The sequence below is a fragment of the Homo sapiens genome, chromosome 13, assembly GCF_000001405.40.
Source record: "Homo sapiens chromosome 13, GRCh38.p14 Primary Assembly".
NCBI classification, from domain to species: Eukaryota; Metazoa; Chordata; class Mammalia; order Primates; family Hominidae; genus Homo; species Homo sapiens.
Window position 1 is genome coordinate 34,905,520 of NC_000013.11, and position 27,391 is coordinate 34,932,910.

A 27,391-nucleotide genomic window follows, 5' to 3' on the forward strand; every position below is an offset into this window, starting at 1 on the left:
TGCCACCTGTGAGGCTTCTTGGCAGGCAGTTTTCAGCATTCTCCTGGAAGCACCCTAACCTTCTCTACAGCGCCTTTGAAATTTTTAACAATGGGCATAGTGAATATGAATTAGATGTCACTATGTCACCAATCAGCTCTGTGGAAACATAAAACCTCTTTGTTTTGATGGCTACACATACTTTTATTTGACAAGCCCTGTAACTGCTCAGCACCAGAAAAACTAAATTGGTCCATTCAGAAAACTTGGTCCAACCTAGTAAATTTTTCAGTTTCTGCTAGCTTAAAATTGAGCATCTCTCAGGTAAATATTCAATCAAATGCAAGTGTAATTCTGTCACTGTCCAGTTCAATGCTCGTTCTCTTCCTACAATCCCTCCACTGTCCATCCAACTCTCAGGAGGCCTCTGAGAGGCCTCTGGCCCAACACCTGTGCAGTGGAAGACCTAAAATTAAGACCCAATACTATGTGCTGCCTTGACATCTGGAAAAATCAGCAGGACCTCAAATGGCCTGATCCCAAGTTCACCTCCTGCTCCCATGGTTAAAGTCCCCCAGTCCAAAAATTCTCCTTAGCCAGTGGACCAGGCACAGTTTCTGCTTATCCCTAAGTAGTGGGTTTCAGTTCCCAGCCTACCTAAGGAATTATTCACACAAACCAATCACATCCTCTCACAGAAATCAGGAGTCACCTCACCCTCTTGATACTACAGTCTGCCTTTCCCAGCCCTGGCTCGTTCACTCAGTTTTCGAGTGGAACTCTCATGTGACCCTGCATGGCGTGCTGTGTTCTCCTTCCCCAGGTTATGAGGACATGTAACTAATAAAGTTACAACACCTCCTCTGCCCAGTGTTGGGAGTCATGTGTTTGGCTATCCCAGTAACTCTAAAGCATCAAAGGGTAAATAGGAGGTGATTAAAACACCCTGCACTAAGCAGCAGGACGGAATGGAGATGCGTCACCTGACCGGCTGCATGGTGGCTGTAAGGTGGCTTCCTCAGGTGGGTCTTGCTGGTAGCTAGAGTCCTTCCCTAGTCTAGTCTCTGGCTCTGGTGTTTTATCACTACCAGCTATTTGGAGTGGTCTGGTAGGTGGTGGATAACAGCCTCGAAAGGCTTAGGGCGGCTTCCAGGTTTGGGTAATCCAATAAGGTGATCCTTACATGCTAAATCCTCCAAGGTCTACCTCACAGGCTTAGGACATGAGGTCTTGTCCCCACTGAGAAACTTCTTGTGAGATGGCTGACAAGCCAGCAAGGACCTCAGCTACCTAGTTCCCTAGTTAATTCCAAGCCTACAGGAAACCTAGAAATTTCCCCCAGCTGAGCTTGGCTCCAGAGGAAGCTGAAGGTGATCTTTGCCTTCTCTTGCCTCATATTGCTATCTCCTCAGGGTCCTTCTTGCTCCAAAGGCGACAGAGGATTCTGCAGATTCTATTGCTCAGCAAACTCTAGAAATTGTGTGTCATTTTCTTACTTATCTGCCTACAGCTGCAAAACTAAAAATGATGCTTTAGAATGTTTCTCGTGTGTAGACATGTGGTCAGAATAAATCTTCTCACTCAAATGCTCTCTTTTCCTCCTTTTAGTGTCCTCTCCTGACTCTCCTTCCTTTCACAGCCAAGCCTCAAGAATGGTTCTATGCTCACTTCCCCTACTTCCTCCCATCACATTCACTCTTTGCTGCAGTCTGACTCTAGTCCCTGAAACTCCTTTCCATAAAGTCATAATTTATCCTCAAATTGTGAAATTCAATGACTATGTCCTGGCCTTATTGAACTACAGTGTGGCACAATGTGCTGCCCACTCCCTCTTTAAAACTCTCACTTTAGTGTTAGTGACATCATTCTTGCCTAAGTATCATCTCCTTCCCTGAGCATCTTTCTGTCTCATGCATGCAGGCTCTTCCAATTTCCCCTCAGTGATGGTGCTGCCACTGCTGAGGACCTGCTTTTTGCACTGTGCTCTTCCATCCATATAGTTCTCATTAGGTGACCACATGGAAGCCTCTGTTTTCCTTCAACTACCACTGTGTATGACCCAATGCCTCCAGCTCCTTCTACTGAGCTCAGACATCATCCCCGGGTTCTGGACCCACATAATGTGTTCTTTATTTGAAGAGAAATGATGACTTTATGGAAAAAAGTTTCTGCCTGAAACTTGCCTAGGCACTTTATACTTAACATGGATTATAAGCCCTTCTTCCCTCTGTATTCCCCTAGTTGAAGGCACATTCATCCAAGGACCTAGTATTCTAGCCATTCTGTCTGCCTCTTCTATCCTCATTGCCTAAGAGTCTGATTTTACTTCCTAAATGTACATGTTTGGGCTCTTTTCTTCCCTTCTATTGCACTGCCATGGTCTTGGTTTAGGCCCTCATTGCTTTTTGCCAGGATTATTGTTCTCTCAGCCTCTAGACTACACAAGCCCTTTCTCCTACCCAACCTCTACCAGAGTGATTTTTTAACTGTAAATCTGCTCGTGTCAGGTTACCTTCCTGCTTAAAACCTTTCAGGATTCCGTCACATTCAGGATAAAGGTCAAACTCCTCAGCTAGGCACACTAAGCCCATCATTAATACTTTGGCATCACACTCCACAGTACTAGTTGTGAGAGTGTAGACAAGTTACTTAACCTTACTATGCCTCAGTTTCCTCCATGTGTAAAATAGAGATAAGATAGCACGTGTGATAAGATCATTGTCAGCACAGAATGAACTAAGGCATATAAAGTACTTAGGCACGTAGTAAGCAATCTGTTTTTTTGCTTCTTTGTTTGTTTATTTTTTAGACAGGGTCTTACTCTGTCACCAAGGCTGGAGTACAGTGACATGATCTCAGCTCACTGCAACCTCTTTGCCTCAGCCTCTCAAGTAGCTGGGACTACAGGAGCATGCCACCATGCCCAGCTAATCAATGTTTGTTTGTTTGTTTGTTTGTTTGTTTCTTTCTTTCTTTCTTTCTTTCTTTCTTTCTTTCTTTCTTTCTCTTTCTTTCTCTCTTTCTCTCTTTCTCTCTCTTTCTTCCCTCCCTCCCTTTTTCCTTCCCTCCCTCTCTTCCTTCCTTCCTTCCCTCCCTCCCTCTCTCCCTCCTTCCCTTCCTTCCTTCCCTCCTTCTTTCCTTTTTTTTGTAGATATGGGCTTTCACTGTGTTGCCCAAGCTGCTCCAGAACTCCTGAGCTCAAGTGATCCACCAGCCTAGGCCTCCCAAAGTGCTGGGATTACAGGCATGAGCCACTGCACCCAGCCAGCAATCTGTTTTTGATAGTAGCTATCTTTATTACCATTTTAAAATCTCACCTCCCTTCTCTTCCCTTCCCTTCGGCCACCATACTGGTCTACTTGACATTTCTGAATATTGCCTGTGAGTTCATCCTCCTGGGCTTACTTATGGTCCTGCTTCCTCTGTGTGTAATACTTTCCCCCTCTTTCTTCATCTAGCTAACAGGTACTTAGTTTTAAAGACCCTTCTCACATCACTTCTTCCAGAAACTCTTCCTTGATCTTCTTGCTCCAGTCGGGGTTTAATTTTCCATGTTTTTGTAACTCTTCATTAATACATTTATCCCAACACTCAATAACTCTGCATTGGGCTTGATTACATGTTTGTCTCCTATACAAGACTGTGGATTCCTTAAAGGCAGAATACAACTTTGTCTGAGTTCCAACGAAAGGGCTTGTCAATGTTGAACCAGGGATTCAGTAAATGACTGCTGGGTGAATTAAAAGATTGCATCAGGTGCTCAGAGACTCTAGCACACCTTTGCTTCAAAAAGCACCTTACTTCAAAATTATTATCTCATTTCTTCCTCTATTTAAAGTCCCTATTTGTAAATTGTGAAATTAGGCACTATTAGTTTACTGTCAGCGATGAAACTAAGCTAGTCAGCTGAAAATTTATTACAATTCATTTATACTTCTAAAGCGTATATTTACCCTTTCAAACAAGGAACTTGTAAAGATAATAGGATGAATTTTAGTGATGAGTTTTAAGGAAATATAATAGGAGGAAAGGGTGTAGTGTGAGAAGATAGGAAGAATAATTTTTTTCTGCCCAGGCACAGTGGCGCATGCCTATAATCCCAGCACTTTGGGAGGCCAAAGCAGGAGGATCACTTGAGGCCAGTAGTTCAAGGCTACAGTGAGCAATGATCATGCCATTGCACTCCAGTCTGGGCCACAGAGGAAGACTCAGTTTCTAAAAAAAAAATTAAATACAGAAAAAATAAAAAAATAAAAAATAAATTTTATGGGAGAGTTGCTTGGAACTCCTTAAATAACATCAAGTGGGAATCCAGCCTCTACTGGTAGGGGTAAGCTGATGGCCTACTATATGAGGGGATTTGACTGGAAAAGCACCCAGAAGCTTTTCATAATTAAACTAGTAGCTGAAATACTGAACTAATATCACTAATAAAAAGGCAGCCTGACAACAAAAGAACTAAAATCTTGATACATGATACAACATGCTAAGTGAAGGAAGCCAGACAAAAAAACCCATATGCTTCATGTGTATGAAATGTCCAGAATAAGCAAACCCATAGTCAGTGAGTGGATCAGGGGCTGGGGAACAGGGAGTGATTTCTAATGAGTATGGGTTTCTTTGGGGCTGATAAAAATGTTCTGAAATTAAATAGTGGTGATGGGTGCATAACCCTTTGAATATACTAAAATCTACTGAATTGTACATTTTAAAAGTGTTATTTTTATGATATGTTAAATTATATTGCAATAAAAATATGTCAGAAAAAAGTGATATTCCAGGAAATACTGACAATAGAAAAAAAACAGCATGAGTTATTTATTATACTATTTGAAGGTCCACAAATAAAATTATATTTTCTAAGTATGAAGGATTATATAGCAAGTCATTTTAATAGCTTACATAAAGCAGTTTCATATTTCTTTTCCTCTAGTTTCACAGAACTCTTTTGATGTATTGTGTCATTAATTAATAGGCTCTAAAAACTACCGTTGTGTTAGTTGGTGTTTTGTTTCTGTTTTAAACTTTCAATTTTTTTTTTTTTTTTGAGATGGAGTCTCACTCTGTCACCCAGGCTGGAGTGCAGTGGCTGGAGTGCAACCTCCACCTCCCAGGTTCAAGTGATTCTCCTGCCTGAGCTTAACAAGTAACTGGGATTACAGGCACCTGCCACCAAACCCGGCTAATTTTTGTATTTTAGTAGAGACGGAGTTTCACTATGTTAGCCAGGTTGCTCTCAAACTCCTGACCTGAAGTGATCCACCCGCCTCAGCCTCCCAAGGTGCCAGGATTACAGGTGTGAGCCACCACGCCTGGCCCTAAACTCAATTTTTTAAAAAATAATTTATTTTGGTTTTATAATGGTCTCAATTTAGCTCATTCAATCAAAACAATAACCTATACTACTTTCGGTTCAATTCAAATGTTCCTTTTGACTATTAATCCCAGTTTTAAGATGAACATTTATAACTATCCAAGTTGATGCCACAGATATGCTGTAATTAATAACATTTTATGTTTCCTTTTATTTATCATAGTGATATAATTTTATATTACTGTCCACCATAAATGTCAGTTGAACAGAGGCTTAATTGAAACATTCTTTAGATCACAGAAAAAGATAGTGATGTTATGCTTGAAATATTTCTCGAAGATTATACAAGGTTAAGAAGTCATTGAACAAATGTTTATTGGAGGTCTACTATGTAAACTATGGCTCTCGGCCTTCTTATATTTCCAAGTGTACCTTGAAAACCAACTCTTCTGAGCAACAACTTGGAGAGATTAAATGTGCCACACACGTCAGCACTAATTACACTGAAATCCCAGAAAATCATGGCTCATAGTGTCTGTGAAAGTGTCCAGTCAGCACACTATTTAGTTGTTTACACTTTTACACTGAGGCCTTGTTGAAGAAGAAGAAATAGTCTCTTCCTTGACAATCCTCTTTTATATACTCAGACATAAGGGTTATTTTATGTTATAGTAAACACACATAATCCAGATATCCCAAAATTTTCTAAAATTTGATGTCTTGTTTTTTATAATACCCAAATAAAACAGCTCCTCCTCTTTACACTCTCTGGGATACCAGCACCCTCCCTTCTCCTCCATCAGTATTTTCTTGCACCTTTCAGAGGTGCACATTTTCTCAGATGTTGCAGCTGCTTTCCCACTGTGGTTTGACCATGAACCATTATTTGTGGCTTCCATGTTAGTTGTTATCCAGTTAAAAGCAGAAAACAGTCTAGGGTTCTGTATTTGTCAGCTTGAACTACTATAACAAAATGTCACAGACAGGGTGACTTAAGGAACAGAGATTTATTTATTATCTATTTTATTTATATCTCACAGTTTTAGACTCTAAAAAATTCAAGAACAAGATGCCTTGGTCTTACCTTCTCTCTGCGTCCTCACCTGGCAGACACTCTGTTGTCTCTTCTTTTAGGACACCAACGCTGTTGGACTACAGCCCCACCCTTGTGACCTTGTTTTATCTTTATCACCTCCTCACACAGTCACATTGGGCACAGGGCTTCAACATATGAATTTGGGTGGGGGGAAGGGACCCAATTCAGTCCATAGCATTTCTTCTGCAGCCCTCCAAAATTCATGTTCTCACATGTAAAATACATCAATTCCATCCCAACAACCCCAAAGGCCCTAATTCATTCCAGCATCAACTCCAAAGTCCAAAGTTCCATCTAAACATCATCTAAATCAGATATTGGTGAGATTGGAGGTATGCTTTATCTGGCTGCAAAATTCCTCTGCAGCCATAAACCTGTGAAACCAGGCAGGTTATGTGTTTTCAAGAGCATACAGTGGTGGGACAAGCATAGGATAGACATTCCCATTCCAAAAGGGAGAAATCAGACAAAAGAAAGTGGTGACAGGTCCGAAGAAAGTTTAAAACCTAGCAAGGCAAATTCCATGAGATCTTCAGGCTGGAGAATAATCCTTTTTAGTTTGATGCTCAGTTATGTAGTTAAAAGCTACAGTTGTCTGTTAGTTGGTGTTTTGTTTCTGTTTTAAAGTTTCAATTTTTTCTTTTTCTTTTTTTTTTTTTTAGACAGAGTCTCACTGCCACCCAGGCTGAAGTGCAGTGGCTCAATACTGGCTCACTACAACCTCCACCTACCAGGTTCAAGTGATTCTCCTAACTGAGCCTTACGAGCAGCTGGGATTACAGGCACCTGCCACCACACCCGGCTAATTCTTTTATTTTTAGTAGAGACGGGTTTCAACTAAACGTACATCGGGGAGTACAATTTTCTTTACTCAGTCCAGCAATTCAAATGTTAATTTCATCCAAAAACACCCTTCCAGAAACACCCAAAATAATGTTTGACCATATCTGGGCACCCTATAACCTAGTAAAGTTAACACAAATTTAACCATCACATTTTCTAACAGAGGGTACTTAATGCAAGGAATGTGTCAGAAAACTGTTGGCATGGCTAAAAGAACAAAAATGGAAAGACACAGTTACCTAGGGATGGAGGGGAAAAAAGGGGAAATAAAGTTACCTAGAGTGGATGCCGAGGCTGCCAGAGCAGCCACTGCCGCTGTTGCAACTGTGTTGCTGTACTCTGTGGTTAAGTTTTGCACCTGCGTTGTCACTGACACCACAGGAGCACAGAGGCCAGAAGATGCCTACTTTTGTTGCTGCTGCTGCTACTGAAGCCGGAACCTGTAAGTGCTATGCTGCCAGTTCTTTTGCTGAAACTGCCTGACCAGGATACCCAGGAGCCTACACTTGCTCATTTGCCACTGCTACTGTCCAAGGTGCTGCCACAAGCAGGGCGGAAAAAAATGGCCTCTTCCTCTTTCCACCCTTCCCCTAACATCCTACCTAATGCCTCCCTCGGGGCACTGCTTATGCTTAACCCTAAGCTCTCAGGCAAGGCAATCTAGCAAATACCATTTGCAGCCTTTCAATCTCCTGTGATTTAAAGGAGAGCATGAGAGGATAGGAATGGGGCTGAAAGCCAACAGCCATATCACCAGAACAGTAACACTAACCCTATGATCACTATTATTTTGCTGTACAGTTTGTCCCACATAGGGTATCAGCTCTGCTCTTTTATTCTCCAAGCCTTGCTCTGAAAAAGGCTGCTGTGTGTAGCAAACTTTTTTGAAGGCTTTATGTAATTGAGGATATAATAAATAAGGAAAAAAAACTCAAAGTTGGATACTAATTATGATTATTTCCATAAACCAAGAGAATAAAACATAAACGTAAATACTTCCATGGGAGTTTTCTCTGGTCTTGCTCCAGGTCCCAGTCTTGCTTGTGTCTCTTGCTCAAGTCCATCTACTTGGTTCAGCTCCCTGCAGCCCCATATCTCCTCTCCACTCACTTCCTGCATCCTTACCCCGGCCCCACAACTCACTGTGCCCCATGAAATGCTGCCAATCAGTCTTTCTTTGACAGAACAATTTATCTTTCCTTGTTTTCTCAGTCTAACCTATCAAGGTACTTTTTAAAATAAAATATCCATCCACCCTAGATATGAATTTTGCCATTGCAAAAGCAATTGCAGTCCATTTTTGTCTTAAATGGCCGTTTTTTTCTTTCAGCTATTATTAAGATCTTTTTAAAAATATAATTTTAGGAATGCCAAGCCTCTTAGGTGCAGCAAATTATACTTCGCTGTATACTGTTTACTACTATCCACTCGACTCTGTGTGTCATATGCAGACATTACTGTAACAATGTATATTCTTAGTTATATAGTAAAATAAAGTTTTCACATCATTGAAAAGTTGGTAGCATACCCCTGAAGGTTATCAGCACAGCAACTGAGAATCTCTAAAGTAGCAGGTAATTGCAAGTATGAAAGTAAATATAATGAATAAGACATCAGGCTTACTTTCCAGGAGTTTCTAGTCCATGGGGGGTTAGTGTACCACAAGTAAAAACTATAAAATAAAGTGCTTCAAGAACAAAAGAAGAAGAAGAAGCATGAGAGCTTGAACGGGCTTTTGTAAGAAATGGTCCCAAAGCTGAAGCTTGGAGAATTAGTCGGGACAGGAAATGAGAGGGAGGAAAAAAGATATGTAGATGGGAGCATGCCACAGGAGGGGGCAGGGATGCAGAAGAATGCAGCCATGCTCAAGAAACAGAGTTGTTAACATAAGAAAGTCTTAAAATTCTAATTGACCTGAATGGCTTTTTCATTCATGCTTTTACATAGGGCTCACATCACTGTTTCAGCAAGGAGCCACAAATCTAGATTCTTTGCTTTATTCCCACCTACTTTTTTCAGATACAAGAGGTAGAGGATAAAAATACAAGTTCAGAGGGGACAGATACTACTTGCAAAATGCCAGTGAACCCTGATTGTGGAAACTAGAATGCTAATCGAACAGGGTTTACCTGTGAATCTGGGGCAGGTTGAAGAAGAAAAGCTTAGGCATATTTAAGTCTCTTCACTTCTCTTATGTATTAGTAAGTGGTTCATTTTATCTTGCTCTGTTTAAGCCTATGAATCTTCTCTACCTCTATCCATTGACTTCTGCTTTTCCTAAAATTGGTAAATTTGATTCTGCATTTCTCTGCATTCCTGGCTTTACTTTTCTATTTGGTAGTGTTTCCAAATCTTATCTAGAAGCATAATGTAGATTCACGGTTGCTTCCCTCCTTTCAGTGGTTCTCAACCCTGTGTGGTACAATCTCTATAGAAACAGGAAGGAGTCATAGTTTTGGTTGTCGCAATGTCTGAGGGATGTCACCAGCATTTAGTGTGGGTGGGGGATGCCAAATGCTAAAAATCATACAGTTCTTGGGATACTCTAGCAAAGTAATTTTCTCATCCAAAATGCTAATAGTCCTCTTCATTGAGAAATATTTTCTTTTGATGTCTTTATTTGTAGACTTATCAAATAGGCCCAAGTGCTTCAGCAGAATGGACCAAAATTCTTTCACTTACAGTCCAGTATAGTGCTTTGTACAGTGTTTTTACAAATTAGGGATCAAGAGGAGCTTGTTGATATAATATTGGATTTATTGCTGTGGTCCAGGAATGCAGAAATCCAGCCCTAGCTCCCCTGCCTGCTTAGGATGCTGTTTTCCTTACAAGAGCTTCACAAGCATTTTACAAATTGTCTTTATCCATTATCAGCCTGCTTCCTCCCACATCCCATCCCCCAGATTGCAGAAAGTTCTGAACAGAAAGAGATATAGAATGGGAAGGAAAATATCACTTCATTAATGGCTGAACAAATGCTTGATACATCAAGGAGAGCATTTTTTTAAATTTTTTATTGGAGACTAAGGTTTATATTTGGTGACCTATGCTGAGCTGTTGACCCCTACTCAGCCCCACCCTAACCTCCTGTCCACCCCTCCATCCTCATAAATACAGACCTTTCCAAGTGGCTAGACTGAGGAAGAAAGTTAAAGAAGGAAAGAACTACCACTAAGTAGCTAGGGTAAGCCTTAGTTTAATTTATCTATTTGTTTTAGTTTATTAGCCAAGGGACAAATATATAAGGAATCCAAAATAGAAAAAGAGAGAAATCTGACTGTGATCTCCTGCAAGATCCAGTCCCTATCTAGTCTACATCCTAGAGACAGACGCAGCAGACAGAATGTAAAGAAGACAAATAAGGCTGAGCTTCCCAGCTCTAAGTATAGAGCTTCTTAATGCTATAGTAATCCTGTTCAGTAGAAAACTGTGACCTAAAGAGTGACCCTTTCTCTGACCCCTCATTTCCTTTCCTCCTTCAGAGAGATGAAGAATCAAGAACAGGGTCAGCAGAAACAGGCCTTGGAAGATAAGTGGAAGAACCCACATGCCCTATATCTTAAGTCCATATGTGCTTGTTGATCAAACGTGACCATAAATAGGATTTTTGGGCGTCTTGACTTGAAATTTGGTTTGGAGATATGAGGTGCATACCAGAAAGAAAGATGACTCCATCTGGAAGATTATGAAGGGAAAGTATAGCGAAGGGGAGAAAGGTTGATCCGCTATCTAAGGGTAGAATCAGCAATATTTGATGATGAAGTGGACATAGAAGCTAGGGAGAGGAGGGAGTCAAGTTAATAATCAGTTTTCAGAGTGGGACTCCTGACTAAAATGCAGAATATAGGATGAGAAACATGTTCGGTGCAAGAAGATTTCTTTTTGGCATCAGTTAAATCTAGATGGGGTGGGGTATCCAGATGAAGATCCCCAGGAGGCGAGGCAATTGTTGTATGCACCAGGCGTTCAGTAAAGAAGTCTAGGTCATTTATTTCCTTTTCTGACACTAAGCTTCTATTTATTCTTCATGGTCCAACCCAAATGTTCTCTTTTACTGACCCAAATGAACAGAGTTATATGTAATTGTTGTTCTCAACACATTTTATACCACTTCTGATAAAGTACTTATCATATTTTTTATTGCTGTTTTCATCTCTTTTGTTATACATGAAGTCCTAGATCATGACTTGTTCATCTTTACATCCCCAGTAGTTAGCATAGCTTAAATAATACTTATTGAAGTGAAATTAATGAATATTTTTGTTAAATGATTGATAGAATATTCTGAGAAATTTGGTAATTCATATGATATTTAAGGCAATTGGCAAGTGGTAGTTTAGTATCTACTCAATATTCCCCAGTCATTGGGTTCTTTCTTGTTCCTAAAGCAGCCACACTAACTCCCATTTTAGATTGTGATTGTAGACAGAAGTTCCTCTGCCTGGAATGTTACTTCAGATCTTTCCATTGTTATTCCTTATTTTCATACGATCTCTTCAGAGAGGCATTCCAATCAGAAGGAATGCCATCCCAACTCAGAGCCCTTTACCTTATCACCCTGCTCTGCTTTCTTCATTGCACGTATCACTACTGTCTGTCTGCTCCCACACAAAGTTAGGTCTGTAAGAGCAGAGAACTCCTCTGTCTCATGCTCTGCTAGATCCCTACTGCCTAGAAGTTGGCCCTCAATAAATATTTGTTGACTAATAAATGAAGCAGGTCATCCCCAAGGGACAGATACGTTGCCATGAACATTTACAAAAACCTTTGGATTTGCTCTAATTTGGATTTATGCATTGAGAAATAAAGACCTTTGTGGTAGTTTTCACATCCTCATGGGTTTTTCTCTCTACCTGCAGTTTTCCACTTTAGTGAATCCTGAGGCATACACTCAAGAATCCTGCAGCCCTTTGTTTTCACAGCTGAGTTGCAGTGATTACAACTTCAGTGATGATAGACTGGATTCTTTCTAACATCTCTTTGTTGGAGATTTTATCTTCTTTAGTATCACCCATGAGCAGGAACAAAAAATAAGTATGCCATTATGGCAGGTTCATGAATCTCCTCTACATTAGCAGGAAAATAGATAGAACATCTGAAGGAACCATATGCAGTACAATTGTTGCTGCCTCAAGAAATGTGACCAAGACTCTGTAACACCCTGTCTGCACAGTTGGTAAATTGCCTAGTTAAGTCTGGACTCAAACTGTGTTACCACTTTTAAACTGTGTTAAATTTCTTAGTACTTTAGACTTGATGGGGTGAGCCCATTTACTGTGACGAAAGGATTACCTTTAAGTCGGTCTTCTACTTTAAGTAAGTAGTATTTAAGTAGTATTTCTCCTTTAATGAGTCTAACAAAAGAGGGCTATAGTTTATTACCTATGGGTGAGATTAAAGAAAAAGAGGACTCTGAAACACATGGGAATCTAAGAGGAACCACTGTGAGTACATGTGCATTCCAGCGCATAGTAGCTATTGGGAAGTAGTATCAAAAAGTCATTAGAAGGCTGGGTGTGGTGGCTCAGGCCTGTAATCCCAGGTCTTTGGAAAGCCAAGGTGGGTGGATCACTTGAAGTCAGGAGTTCAAGACCAGCCTGGCCAACATAGTGAAACCTCGTCTCTACTAAAACTACAAAAATTAGCCGGGTGTGGTGGTGGCTGCCTGTAATCCCCAGCTACGTGGGAGGCTGAGGCAGGAGAATCACTTGAACCCGGGAGGCAAGGCGGAGGTTGCAGTGAGCTGAGGTCGCACCACTGCACTCCAGCCTGAGCGACAGAGTGTGACTCTGTCTCTCAAAAAAAAAAAAAAAAAAGTCATTAGAATGATAGGGTCTGGAAAAACCAATCTTGGGTCACGAATACATATTCAAAAGTAGTTTAGAACATTTATAAACTTAAATTTGAAATTTTGAAAATATTTTCTTTTAATCTGTATGAGTCTAAATATTTGCCTTTCCTTAATAATTTTGAAATTAGTAGTCATCAAAGGGGTTGGCAATCATGGCAAGTGGCTATTAATGATTGACTTAGAAAATAATACTAATTGCAATAATACTAATTGCATTCATTAATTCATTTATACATTTTTAAAAGTCCTCCAACATTTTTTCTTATTCTCCTTTGCTCATAAGCTTCAATATCCACATTCTCTGATCCTTATTTTGATCTTTTAAAATACCTGTTGAGTATCCCTTAACCAAAATGCATGGAACCAGAGGTATTTTGGACTTTGGATTTTTTTCAGATTTTGGAATATTTGCATTATACTTACCAGTTGAGCATCCCTATTCTCCTTTGCAACAGGGTGCTAATATTCTCTTCTGTCTTTCTTGTTTTGTATGATAGTCTATGCCCACCTAACTCTGGAAGTTAACATCTATGCCAGCAACAGTTCTCTAAATTTGTCCTCATCTTTCACGTTTCATCCTTCAAATATCTCTTGAGATTTTTGGTTTCTATGCTCCACTTAATTTTGTGTTAGAATCTTTCACGAGTTGTCCAGTCCCAAGAAACCCATCAAACTTCACATGTCTTTACTGACAAATGGACATTGAATTTCTCATTGATTTTACTGATCTCTGGGGAGGTGTGCTCCCTGAAGGCAGCACTTTTATTTCCAGTGAAAAAGGCACAGTTAAGCAATATGGGAAAGGCATTTCTGAATTTTAGGACCAGTCCTAAAATTGAGTTTGGGTCAGTTCTCTCTAGAAAAGATTCTATTTTATTTACAGAGTAAAATTATTTTATTCCTTACAATAATATCAGAGGAGTTTTCCTACTATTTACATTCAGTCTTTGGCCCTAAGTCAAATAATCAACTCTGAAAGGAGAAGATCTTTGAGATAAACTTATTCTGTACCCTATGGAGAAAGCTAAGTTCTTTGGAGGCCTCTAGTTATAGCTCCCTAAGAACTATAAGGGAAGATAATAGGCAACTGACTTCAAAAAATTTTGTTCTATTTTTTTGAAAACTCAACTCATTTATGCTCTCCAGTGTCTTATCTCCATACTGCTCTGTGTTTTACTTCTGAGTCAAACTTCCTTCCCTCCCAAATATTTTCACTGTGATGTCTGGAAACCTCATTAGAGGACATCCACTCCATTTCTTTGCTTTAATTAACATTCAGCTATCTCTATGGGGACATTGCTTCCCTTGACATATGCTCAACTGAAGGCTGGTCATTTTCCCAAATGCTAAGGTATCATAGAATTTATTTAACAGAAGTGCATTGGCACAATTTTAGCTCCATATTTCCTATTCCCAACCACTATTCCTCTATTTTAACATAAAAGCCCCTTCTTTACTGTCTATCCATTTAACTATAATGTCTTCTGACAACTGCCACATTTATTCCAGAACTTCCTCTCCATCCAAGTGACATCATTTTCTCATTTGGCTTCCCTTTCACATTCATGTGGTTGACTCATCTAACACCTTAACCCCATAGGTTCTTCATTTCCTCAGCTCTGAGACTTTTTCTTGAGTTCGACCTTCCACTGCCTATGTCTTAGACATTTTTTAAATGGCCTCAACTGTTCCATATTAAAAAAACATAAGTTTAAATATCCATATTCTCTGATCTTTATTTTGATCTTTTAAAATACTTGTTGAGTATCCGTTATCAAAAATGCATGGGACCAGAAGCATTTTGGATTTTGGATATTTTTCAGATTTTGGAATATTTGCATTATACTTACAAGTTGAGTATCCTTAATTTGAAAATCTGAAATCTGAAATGCTCCAATGAACATTTCCTTTGAGCATCATGTAAGGGCTCAAAAAGTTTCAGATTTTGAAGTATTTCAGATTTAAGATTTTCAGATTAGGGATACTCATTGTTTGGCTGCCTTGGCTTGGGACCACAATTTTATCTCCTGCTAGGGCAGGCTCTTCAGAGTCACTTCTTACAGCTGCTTCAGTGTGGGGAAGCAGTTGACAGGCTTACTGTGAAGCTCCTCCCAGACTTTAGCCAACTTCAATCTCAAGCCACAGGCAGAGAGTCTTCTTCGTGTAGTTATAGTCCTTTCCTGCCCTGTTTTATGTTATTTAGCTCCAGCTTGAGTTCCTCTCTTGGAGCCTTTACTAAAAGTAGCAAAAAGCAAGCGTCTTATACCAAACACTTGAAATGTTTTACTCCATGTTCTTTGGAGTTAGAGGTTCAGATGGCATGTGCTCTACCTTCCATGACATCATAGATGGTGGTTTTAACAAACATTTGTCCATGACCTAGCTAAACTCACCAGCTGTATCACTGTCACTTGCTGGGGAATTCCGAGTAAATGCCACATATTTCAGATTCTGTTCTGTTTAGCTTCTCTTCCAGGTACAAAGTTTTGTGTTAGTTAAGATATAGGTTTGGTGGTTGTGAAAGAAGTTCAAAATAAGAGTGGCTTAGACAAGAAAAGAGACTATTTCCTGGTCACACGATAGAACAAGTTGTTAATGCGGCATAGCTTTACAGGGTGGTCAGTACTTGGGTATCTTCTATTTTTCTTTTATCCAATCAGTAAGGCATGGCCTTTATGGCCCAAAAGAGCTTATCACCACATCTGCATGTTAGCTATGGAAAAGGGGAAAATACTCCCTTCACTGACACACAGCAGTCACCAAAGCTGGTCATGTGGCTATTGAGAAGGTGCAAGGGCAGCTGGGAAAACTGCAATGCATTCTGGGTATTGCTGAGGAGGCAGCCACACTCATCTACTCTGATATTGAGAATTACATGTGATTGCTTTTAATTTTCATGTTGAACTTATCATTATGTGAGTTGGAACATTAAAGAAAAAATACACAAACAAATAAACTAGAGAATATTTTCCACTCCATTCATGTGACTGCCAGTCTTTGATGGAGTTTCAACCTGACAGAGATGAGAGGCAGAGCTCACAGGATAGGAAGATTTGAATTTGACTTTACTTTTAAATGCTTTCCTAATAACTGACTCCAAAAGTTAAATAAAAAAAAAAAGTGTTTAATTTTTCCCTTTATCTCTAGGTAGCCCTACATTAACATTATTAACATTATCATGAATACATTCCATTTAAAGACCTCCTTGAAAAGACAGTTCACAAATTCCCTCTATTTATGTTTCTGAGTTTTCTAGCCAAAATAAACATCTCAACTTGTGCATTTCCTTTACGTAAGGGTGTGCAGTTGTGATAAACAAATTATATATGAAACTGACATGATACTAGAACAGAAACTCTTTGAATACTGAGGCTGTGCATTTTTTAGGTTAGTAGATACTTTGCAATTTTTTTTTTTTAATGGAGTCTAACTCTGCTGCCCAGGCTGGAGTGCAGTGGCATGATATCAGCTCACTGCAACCTCTGCCTTCTGGGTTCAGGTGATTCTTCAGCCTCAGTCTCCTGAGTAGCTGGGATTACAGGCGTGCACTACCACGCCCGGATACCTTTTATAATTTTAGTAGAGACGGGGTTTCGCCATGTTGGCGAGGCTGGTCTTGAAATCCTGACCTCAAGTGATCCGCCTGCTTCGGCCTCCCAAAGTGCTGGGATTTCAGGCGTGAGCCACTGCGTCTGGCGGCAATTCTTCTTTCAACTTAATCAGCCCTTATATACTCAAAGAGTTACTTGGGTGCACACTTTCTCATTACCTATTTTTGTCATTGCATATATCTGAGGAAGGATAATGAAACTCTACTATCAGTAGAAGGATGCTTGGATTATGAAGTGCAACACTTTATAGCCTATCTTGACTCTTCTCCCAAACTTCATAGAAGTAAAGATGGGATTTTCTGAGTCTTTTTAACTTCCTAGGACTGGAGAGCCAGGAAGACAGAATAAAGGGGGAAAAGGGGCCTTACTTTTAACTTGGTACAAAGTTTATAATGGGAACGTAACAGTTTCAGAAAGCAGAATAGAAGAATCTTAGTAAAGAAACCAAGACAGGCAGCTTCATTTAACATTCTGCTCTTGAACTCATACTTTTATTATATACTTATATGTAGGGTTATTCTGAGGACCTACTATTCATTTTTCAAATAATTTATATTTTAATGTGTTTACATAGGTAATTTACATGACACTATTTTTAGAAATCCTGACCTATTTCAACCTGTCATGATTATCTATGGCTTAATTTCTTTGAAAAGCAATGAAGTCTCTCTCTGGAATCTAGCTATAATGATCTCTAATTTTGTAGTTCTCTAACTTGTTCACACACTTAGAATGACCTTTTATGCCTTTCCAACTATGACATCTTCAATTGTTCTATGGTTTGGGTTCAAATGTTCACAAATACATAGTGCTGAAATGCATATTAAACACATATAAACAAGGGAGAAGAGAAGTTGACACAGAAACAGTAATACACAGTGTTCCAACCAATCCATGTAAGTTGCAATTTCTGGTTTCATATCTCATAATTCAAAATCCTGGAGAGCTGCCACTGAATCATTTCTTCTCCTAATCATAAATACCTAGACCTGATACACCAGGGAATATCAGGATCTTGAAAAAAATGAAATAATGGAATAACAAAATAGCCTCAGGAAAGCAGCCTAAATATATTTTGTAGGTAGGTAGGTAGGTAGATAGATAGATAGATACCTAGATAGATAGATATTCCAAGACTATAAAACTATGAACCAATTTTTAAAATAATATAATCTTCTAATATTATGTTGAGTTGTGATCATCTGCTTATGTAAAATTCAAGACACATTCAAAGAGATCCTTCAGTGATAATGTTTTAAAAGAAGGAAAAAGTTTTAGATGCTACTTGAGAAAAGGACAAAGTATAGCTGGAGTTTCTCTTTCTTCCGTTGTTATTACTTAATTACACTATCTTTCTGGCCACAAAATGAACAAAAAGATTCATTCACTTGTGTCATTAGGTACTAAGCATCAGCTGTCGATTCATTCATTTCACACATTTTACTAGTGACACTGAATACTGCAGAGCCAAAGATGAAAGGGGAAGCAATCCACAGGCCAGTGAGAAGATGCATGATTGCCATTCAGGTACTGAGGGCTGCAACGGAGGAAGGGCGGTGAGGGCACTAATGAATTCTTGCTGTGTTCTGGTTGTTTTCTTATCCTAATAACAGCTCCCTGGAAATGGTACTATTAATCCCTAAAGAAACTAAAATTCAGAGAGATTAAATGACTTTCCCAAAATCACAAAACCAATATGCAATAGAGCCATAAATCCAATTCAGGCCTATCTCATATCACAATTATTTTCTGTCTGCTACACCAAGTGGCCTCCTTCAGTTTTGCAAGACGCCCTCAGTGCCAAGGCATGAGCCCTGACCAGGGAGTCAGAGAAACTTTTTCTTTCTTTCTTTCTTTCTCTTTCTTTCTTTCTTTCTTTCTTTCTTTCTTTCTTTCTTTCTTTCTTTCTTTCTTTTCTTTTCTTTTCTTTTCTTTCTCTTTCTTTCTTTCTTTTTCTTTCTTTCTTTTCTTTCTTTCTTTTTCTTTCTTTCCTTCTTTCTTTCCCTTTCCTTCCTTCTTTCTTTCTTTCCTTTTTCTCTTTCTTTTTTCTTTTTCTTACTTTCTGTCTCTCTTTTTTTCTTTTTCTCTTCTTTCCTTTCTTTCCCTTCCTTCCTTCCTTTCCTTTTCCTTTTTTTCTTCCTTCCTTCCTTCCTTCCTTTCTTTTCTTCCTTTCTTTCTTTTTTATTTGATGGAGTCTCACTCTGTAAGCCAAGGTGGAGTGCAGTGGTGTGATCTTGGCTCACTGCAACCTCTGCCTCCCAGGATCAAGTAATTCTCCAGCCTCAGCCTCCTGAGCAGCTGGAATTACAGGGGTGCGCCACCATGCCTGGCTAGTTTTTTGTATTTTAGTAAAGACGGGGTTTCACCATGTTGCCCAGGGTGGTCTCAAACTTCTGACCTCAGGCGATTCACCTGCCTCAGCCTCCCAAAGTGCTGAGATTCAGAGAAACTTTCATGGAGGGGGGACAGATGGAGTCAAGTCTTGTGGGGTGAACAGGAGTACCACAGGTAGAACGAGGTTGTGAAAGATTTTCCAGACAGTTGGAAGAGCATGTGAAAGACAGATTTTGAGAAAGTCAAGTCTGGGGAACTGCAAGCCTTTTGGCACAAGAAAGCCACTGTGGATTGCAGAGGCAGGATGCCTAGATTCAAATCCCAACTGGTACACTTCTAAGCTTTGTAACTTTGGCAAGTTTTTACCCTCTTTTTTCTTATCTATAAAATATAGATAGTAATAGTACCTACCTAATAAAGTTGTCAAAGAGTAAATGATATAATATATGTGAAGCATTTTGTCCAGTGATAGGAACCCAGGAAGGGCTCCATGAATATTATATATTATTATTATTCTAAAGTAGCTGGAATACAATGTTCAAAGGAGAGAGTGGCAGGAGACAAGTTTGAATTGAAAGATTGAGGCCAGAACATAAAGTGCCTCCTATATTATATTTTATATAATTGAAACATCATTGAAGGATTTAAGTGCTATTTATGTGTATGTGTGTGTTTTATATAATTAATTCTAGTTCAACATTTTAAAATATCTTTCTGATGTCACTGTGAACAACAGATGAGAAGAAGTGAATCCTGAGGTAAGGAGACCAACTCTCTGATTACTGCAATAATCCAGGGAGGGTACCATAAGGATTTCACCTGGAAATGAGTCCATCCTGATGGAGAGGAAGGACAGGGCTGAAAAATACTTAGGAAGTAATATCAGTAGGACTTGGTTAAGACAGAGCAGAGGCAGGCTACAGGGGTTGAAGGTGCCAATCACACAGATAGGGAAAATGGGAGGAGAAGCAGGATTTGAAAAAGTGGCTTGTCTTGTAAAATTATGTCCTGTTAAAATAGTAAAAGAAATTAATATATTCAATCCCAAAATACAGGGACAATTCTGTTTGAAAGAGTTACCCAGATAATCTCGCTTGAAGTTTTCAGTTAAAAATAAAGAAATTTCTTGTTAACAAGTAATGTAGTCATAGAAGAAAACACTTAAAACTTTATTGAATAAAACTAATAAATCATTTAATATCATTTATAGGAAACTGTTATATAACATACACATTCAATACTTTTAGGTAAAGTATAAATTAATGGAAGGAGAGCACACACAGAGGTTGCATTATGTTTATGACTTTATTAGTCAAGAATACAAAATTGAGTAGCTACATCAAGCAGAAACAGATGCTTCACAATCCAGCATAGAATCCCTTGACTTCCAAATTCCCGAAATAGACACGTAAATACAGATGACACTGTCAGAAAAAAATAGGGTCTCACCAGACCTATAATGTTCTTTTCTTGATATAAATATGCATATGAATTGCATACGGTCATATGGTGCCAATGACCATTATTTCCTCTGGGCTTACCTATCCATCTAAGGAGAATTTACACCAACACTGTACTTCTACTTACAAGAATATATGAAAGCATAGTTAACTTCTGGCTTATGACCCCATCTTAGGATCAACAAAGCAGTCCTCTTGGGGGAAGCCCATTTTGCTACAATTTAAAGCCGTTATAAGCATTAAATAAAAGCTTAGTACTTGTAATCTAGTGTGTTATAATGCAGCTAGGGAATTAGATTTCAGGTGTTTATTTTTAACACAAATCCATTAATTCTGACACCTAAGGCAAATGCTAGTCAACATGAATGGAGAAACTTTGATTAGTGGTATATGTTTTCAGATTTCTGGAACATTCATAGACTCCTCAATGTCTTATGTACTGAAATTTTTTAAACCATTGTTTTCTCTAGAAACTAATGAAACTCATCAGAAACTCATTTTTCAATACTAAAACATAGTCATAAGTAGAATATTAATCTTACATTAATTAAGATGTTAACATATGTGAAATTTAATACTTCCTTTAAGGTATGAACATTTATCCAATTCATAATTTCAATGAAAGGAAATGTCTAAGAGAAACTGTTTTAATTCTTCAACCACAAGGACTACACAGAGCAGTTTCAGCACCAGGGATAGTAACCTTCTTGGCTAGCAGTGAATGCTCTAATACTGATGAGTAAATCCTGTGTGTCTAACTTCAAATTAATTGTTAGTTGTTAGATTTATAAGAATGAATATAACATGATAGGAGCATAGGCACAAAGGAAACATTCAAATTTGTTGTTGTCCTTGCGATTATTCTTGTTATATGTGAGGCTGATATGATAGAAGATACTGATTTAGGTCAAATACACATATTAAATGTGGAAAATTAATAACTCTAATTAAATATTTCTTGTTTTATACACATTAATTTTAAATACAGCCCAACAATGGACCACTATTTCTCAATACAAGAAAGTAAAACATAAAAATCATGAAGTTCTTCAATCAAACTTCAGTAATGCTTATCGCAAACATAAAACATAAAAAACAACACATTTTTAAAGAAATATTATCTTTCCAAACATAGCCATGTGATTCCTCTGTATTAGAATTTTTCACAGGAATTTTAACTATTATATTTTTTCTACATGCTTTAAATAATAAAATAATTTGAACTTTTGACCAAATGTGATATATTTAAACTATTGTGTGTATTTTAAAGTGAGGGTAAAAAAAGACACCAAAGCGTCTAGGAAGTTAAACTATAAATTAACATACAGAATTAATTAATTAGGAAGTTAAACTATAATTAACTTACAGAAGTTACCAAAAAGTGTTAATGCCCACCCCAAGAATGACTATAAATCTATTGTTAGAATTTCCATGTATCTCAATTTTTAATATGTAATTGTTTTGAAAAATTTGGCCAATTTGAAAAAAGCCATTAATATGTAAATAAAGACATCTACATTAATACATATTCTTTATTAATTCTTTATTAGATACTAGATAATCTGGGTTCTGCACAATTTTGTATTTGGCCATTTATTTGTTCTATATATCAGTAACAAATATACAAGTTTTTGAAGCCTCCAATACCAACATATTTTTAATGAGTGGGGCCATCTCTTTGCTGACATACCATGGTTACTACACCAATTTATCGTCACGAGATATCTGAACATGATGTTGGACTTAGGAAACTAGTACTTGTAAACCCAATCACCAGGAATGCATGGTTGAATGGCCAAAATTCAGGCAACATACAGGTGGATAAACCAATGGTCCATTAACCTAACGATATAATGGTTCCCAGGAACCAAGGGGAACAAAATTGGTTGGAGAAGAAATACACGATACTTGCAGAAAAAAACAACTTGCTGCTGAGGCCAGGTTCCTTACTGGCATGCCACCCCTCCTTCCTGGGGGTAGCCAGTCCTGAGTGAGCCTGGCCTGAGGTTTGCTGGTAATCACTACACATGTCTAGCTAGTGGGGTTCCTTGGTCAGTTTTGAATGTTGAGATAGAAAGCAAACAAACAGTTACCTAATGACAGTAATTCTCTCCCATCCACAGGAGGGTTTTGCCTAGCATTCACATGCATGTTGCTACAGTACAATTGATTCATTAATTTACTTTAGCCAATTACTTAGTAAACTCATGTCAACAAGAGAGGGGGCAAGGCTTTCATTCACAGCTGAAACCATACATACTGAGGATCTAATAATGAGTGCATACATCACCAACTGAGTTTTTTTACTTTCAAAATATTTTGTGGTACCATGAAAACATGATGTAAATCCCAAGGGAAATTTGTCTAGAGATTTGATGAAGCTTTATCTTGCTGTCCAATTAGAAATTGGATGACTGGAAAGATTCTTCTAAAAACTGGCTAAGATATTTATTGCCAGAATTTTCTTGAGGAGAAACTGTTGGTTTGGCTCCACCTACATTCCCTTACCTCAACCATGTAATCCTGAGCACCTGCTCCTCAGGAGTCAATGCTTTCCTTCAAAGGATCCTTATACATACACTGGAGCTGATGCACAAAACTGCCTTGCCGCATTTTTGAGGATCTCAAATTTGGCCCCTTGTTTACATTATCCTTCTTTTTGTTCATCACATTTCCAGATTCCTGACTGTTTACCAAACTTTATATTGCCTTCCTATTCCATTCTTGAGGATCCATGGTCACTGCAACTGTCTTTTCAGGTTTGCCCCAACTGTGGCTTGTGTGACCAGTTTTGATTCCTTGCCAATTGATTCCTGACCACTAGCTCTGGGCATGGAACCTGCCTGGCTCCTTTTAACATCCCCACAACTTGTCACGCACTTTATCCAAACCAGTTCCCTGCTCTGAGTCTACAGCTGTGACTCACTACTGCCTGTATTTCCAGATTACTGGAATTACTGCTCCACTCCAGATTGCTGCCAGAATTAATGCTACTGCTTTCTCTGTAATACTTTGTACTTTTCAAAGGATCATAATTTATCTCATTTGTGCTTACAGCCCCTTTCTATAATGAGAGCTGTTCATTCCCATTTCATTGGTAAGAAAATCAAGACTCAAAAAGGCCAAATAATTTACTTAACACCACAGTGACGATTTAATACTTTGAATGCTAGTTTTGAGGACCTTATTATTCCCCCAAAATCATGTTTTAGGGAATTTAGCAGTCCTTTAGAGGAATGATTTTATTCTGACTTTAAAACCTTTTGTTTTTTTCTTCCTTTAATATGTGACATTGCCTTGCAATGTAAGTAATCTGTATCAAACTATTGAATGTATTGAATTGTTAGAATTTTTACCTTTTAAGTTCTTTCCTCCTTTCTTTCCTTGAGACATTTATCAAGTACTTACCATGTATCAACCAATGAGCATAGTATATTGCTGCAGAGTTTATTTATAAGCTGTAGTCCCTGCTTTCAAGTAGTGCTAATGTAAAGTCAGGAAAAAATTGTATAACAAATTACTACAAGACTATTCTTTTTCATAAAAATAAATACCATATAAAAGTATCATTTTCTGAAATCATATTATTTATATACATTTTACTAGTTTATTGTCTGTGACCTCTATTAGAATATAAGCTACATGAGGACAGGGACTTTGTTTCATTTACCACTATATTTCCTGTACCTTGAAATGACACATGGCTTGCAAAATACATTCAATAGATACGTGTAGTAAGGAATAAAATGTTAGTTCTCCTTTAGGCTTTTACAAAATGCTCTTATGTTTCTAGTGAATGAAGACTATTTATTAGATACCACATGAGTGGCTCTCGTTGCATAATCAGTTAGCACGTGCTACTTTATAAGATACTACATTAATTCAATGTATTTCACTTAAAGTTTTTGTTCTCTTTAGTTGAACTCCTTTTTAGTTTTTCTAACCTTCTTAAAAAGGCCATATATGTTTTATTACTTAATAGACACACAATCTTTTAAACATAGAATTCATGTATTTAACAAACATGTATTGTTAGAAATACATAATGTCTCTTTAAAGTTATCCCATTTCATGTTTTGCTCACTGGATGGTCATTAGTATGTTTTCTGATGACTCTAAAATGAATGCTACAGAATTGCTACTGTAAAAATTATTAATTTACTAGTTTATTTAGTAAATTTGTATTTCATTTTAGGTTAAGGCTTATGGTCACAAAGCTCAAAGGGTTGATGTATCAATTATATTGACTATTTGTTGTTTATATCAACTTTTTGTTTGTAGTGGCTGCCTTCTAAGTTCCATTGCATCTCTGCTCTTAAATCTGTTCTGTGTTATATGTGATTATATTTTCTTTGGCATTTTTCTTACTTAAACGTCAAACAGATTACATTTCCCAATTTTAGAGTGCTGAAACTATGTCTTTATAGTTATCTTTCAAAATAGTTAACAGTAATATCCACAGGTGTAAAGTTAATATATGTTTTATAGTGATTCAGTACAAGATGTTTTCAGTTTAGGCATTAGTAGAGGGATTTTTTTTAAAGAAAAAATTAATCATATGACATTTCCAGTGAATGAAGGCTACTTATTAGATACTACTTAAAGACATTATGACTTTTATAAATATTCTGGATAGGACAATTCCAAAGAGGTAACAGATAGGAAAAGAAAGTAGAGGTACAAAAATCTGTTGTTGACTCCCATTTTAAAAACTGGAAGCTATATGCATAATCTTAGCCATAGCTAGGAAGTGCATACCATATGAATGCTGCCACAGTGTTGTGGGTCAATGTCAACACAAACACCAATGAAATAATTTGGAAAAGTTAATGTCATGAAATGCCACTGTCCTTTTAAAGAAGGAAATCAGGGAAAACCCTCTGTCTTGGCATAAACTTAAAAGTACTGAGCTTGTTTACAAAGAAAGCAGTAATAAAATATTTTTAATGAAAAGGAAAAGGAAATAGATATTGAAAAGTCTGGTTTAAACCATCAGATACATTTTGGTAGACTGTTTACTTCCATGGGCTAGTAAATTGTAAGGAAGTATTTTGTTATTATTATGTCTTTGTTCTTTTGGCTTCTTATTTTTATAAAGTTGCAGAGAAAAATACTTAGTTTCTAATATGCCTTCTTTCCCTATGACTAGCAAACCAAAAAGAAAAGTTATATTGCCAATTTTACTTAATGTAATTAAAGGGATAAAACATTTAAGTTTGAGATAGGGATGGAAATCATTAAGGCTATCGTAAGATAAACTAACGTTGAATATATATTAGGCTATTCATTAAACAAACAAAACACTAAAGAAGACACTGATGTCCTATTTGCTCTTTGAAGAAGGGAAAGCCAAGTTAATGAATGAAGAGAAAATAAGTGGAGATTAGTGTATTTAATTATGTAATTTGAAAACTCACAAAAACTGTATTAAGCCCTCTTTTGGCACGAATCTATAATCACTTCTATCACCTGTTGAGCACTTATTACAGGCACTGGCTAAATGCTTTATATGTGTTATCTCTGTAAATCCTCCAAGCAATACATGTGAGGTAGTTACAATAGTACCCCCTTATCCCATGGTTTTGCTTTCCCCCTTATCCCATGGTTACTTATGGTCAACCATAGTCCGAAAATAGTAAATGGGAAACTCCAGAAATAACAATTAATACGTTTTACATATCATGCTATTCTCAGTAGCATGATGAAATATTGCACCATCCCACTGCATCCTGCCTGAGACGTGAATCATCCCTTTGTCCAGTGTGTCCTCATTGTACCCGCAACCTGCCCCTTAGTCACTTAGTAGCCATCTTGGCTATCAGATGGACTGTCACAATATCGCAGTGCTGTGTTCAGGGAACCCTTATTTTACTTACTGACCTCAACGTGCAAGAGTAGTGATGCTGGCAATTTGGGTATGCCAAAGAGAACTTAAAGTGCTTCCTTTAAGGGAAATGGTGAAAGTTCTTAATAAGAAAAGAAAAAAAAATTGTATGCTGAATTTGCTAAGATCTATTGTAAGAATGAATTTTCTATCCATGAAATTTGAAGTTAAAAGAATTTCTTGCTAGTTTTGTTGTCACACTTCAAACTGCAAAAGTCATGGTCACATTGGTGATAAGTGCTAGTTAAGATGGAAAAGGCATTACATTTGTGGGTGGAAGACATGAACAGAAACATGTTCCAATTGATGACAACGTGTTCCATCAGAGAACATTGAACCTGTCTGAAGACTTCAGCAAGGGATCCTCTAAAAGGAGTAACAGTCATTTACAGCAAGTAAAAGATGGGTACACAGATTCAGGAATAGGTTTGTACTGAAAAATATAAAAATTATTGAAGAGGCTGCATCTGCTGCTGATGAAGCTACTGCCACATTTCTGGCAGAGTTGATGAAATTGATTAAGGAGAAAGGATACCATTCAAAGCAAGTCTTCAATTATGATGAAACCAGGCTCATCTGGAAGGAGATGCCTAATAGAACCTACATTCACAGAAGTGTAAAGGAGGCATCAGGGCATAAAACATGGAAGAACAGATTAACTCTGGTGCTATGTGGCAACGCTGCAGGGCATACGATAAAGCCAGGCATAGTGTACAGAGAGAACCCATGTGCTCTCACAAACAAAAACAAAAATTATCTGCCTGTGTATTCGTGATGGCAAAGACTTGGAACCAACCCAAATGTCCAACAATGACAGACTGGGCTAAGAAAATGTGGCACATATACACCATGGAATACTATGCAGCCATAAAAAATGAAGAGTTCATGTCCTTTGTAGGGACATGGATGAAACTGGAAACCATCATTCTCAGCAAACTATCGCAAGGACAAAAAACCAAACACCGCATGTTCTCACTCATAGGTGGGAACTGAACAATGAGAACACATGGACACAGGAA

At 37.9% G+C, this 27,391-nt stretch overlaps 2 annotated features.

Annotated features, from left to right (window-relative positions):
• Positions 8,823 to 9,496: an enhancer, noted in NCBI's record as "OCT4-NANOG hESC enhancer chr13:35488479-35489152 (GRCh37/hg19 assembly coordinates)". NCBI's record gives its function as "activates a minimal SCP1, AML or CMV promoter by ChIP-STARR-seq in naive and primed H9 embryonic stem cells {active_cell/tissue: H9 hESC(naive and primed)}" and the evidence as "EXISTENCE:reporter gene assay evidence [ECO:0000049][PMID:30033119]".
• Positions 25,766 to 26,965: an enhancer, noted in NCBI's record as "MED14-independent group 3 enhancer chr13:35505422-35506621 (GRCh37/hg19 assembly coordinates)". NCBI's record gives its function as "activates an origin of replication core promoter dependent on BRD2, BRD4, P300/CBP and CDK7 cofactors, and independent of MED14, by STARR-seq in HCT116 cells {active_cell/tissue: HCT116}" and the evidence as "EXISTENCE:reporter gene assay evidence [ECO:0000049][PMID:35650434]".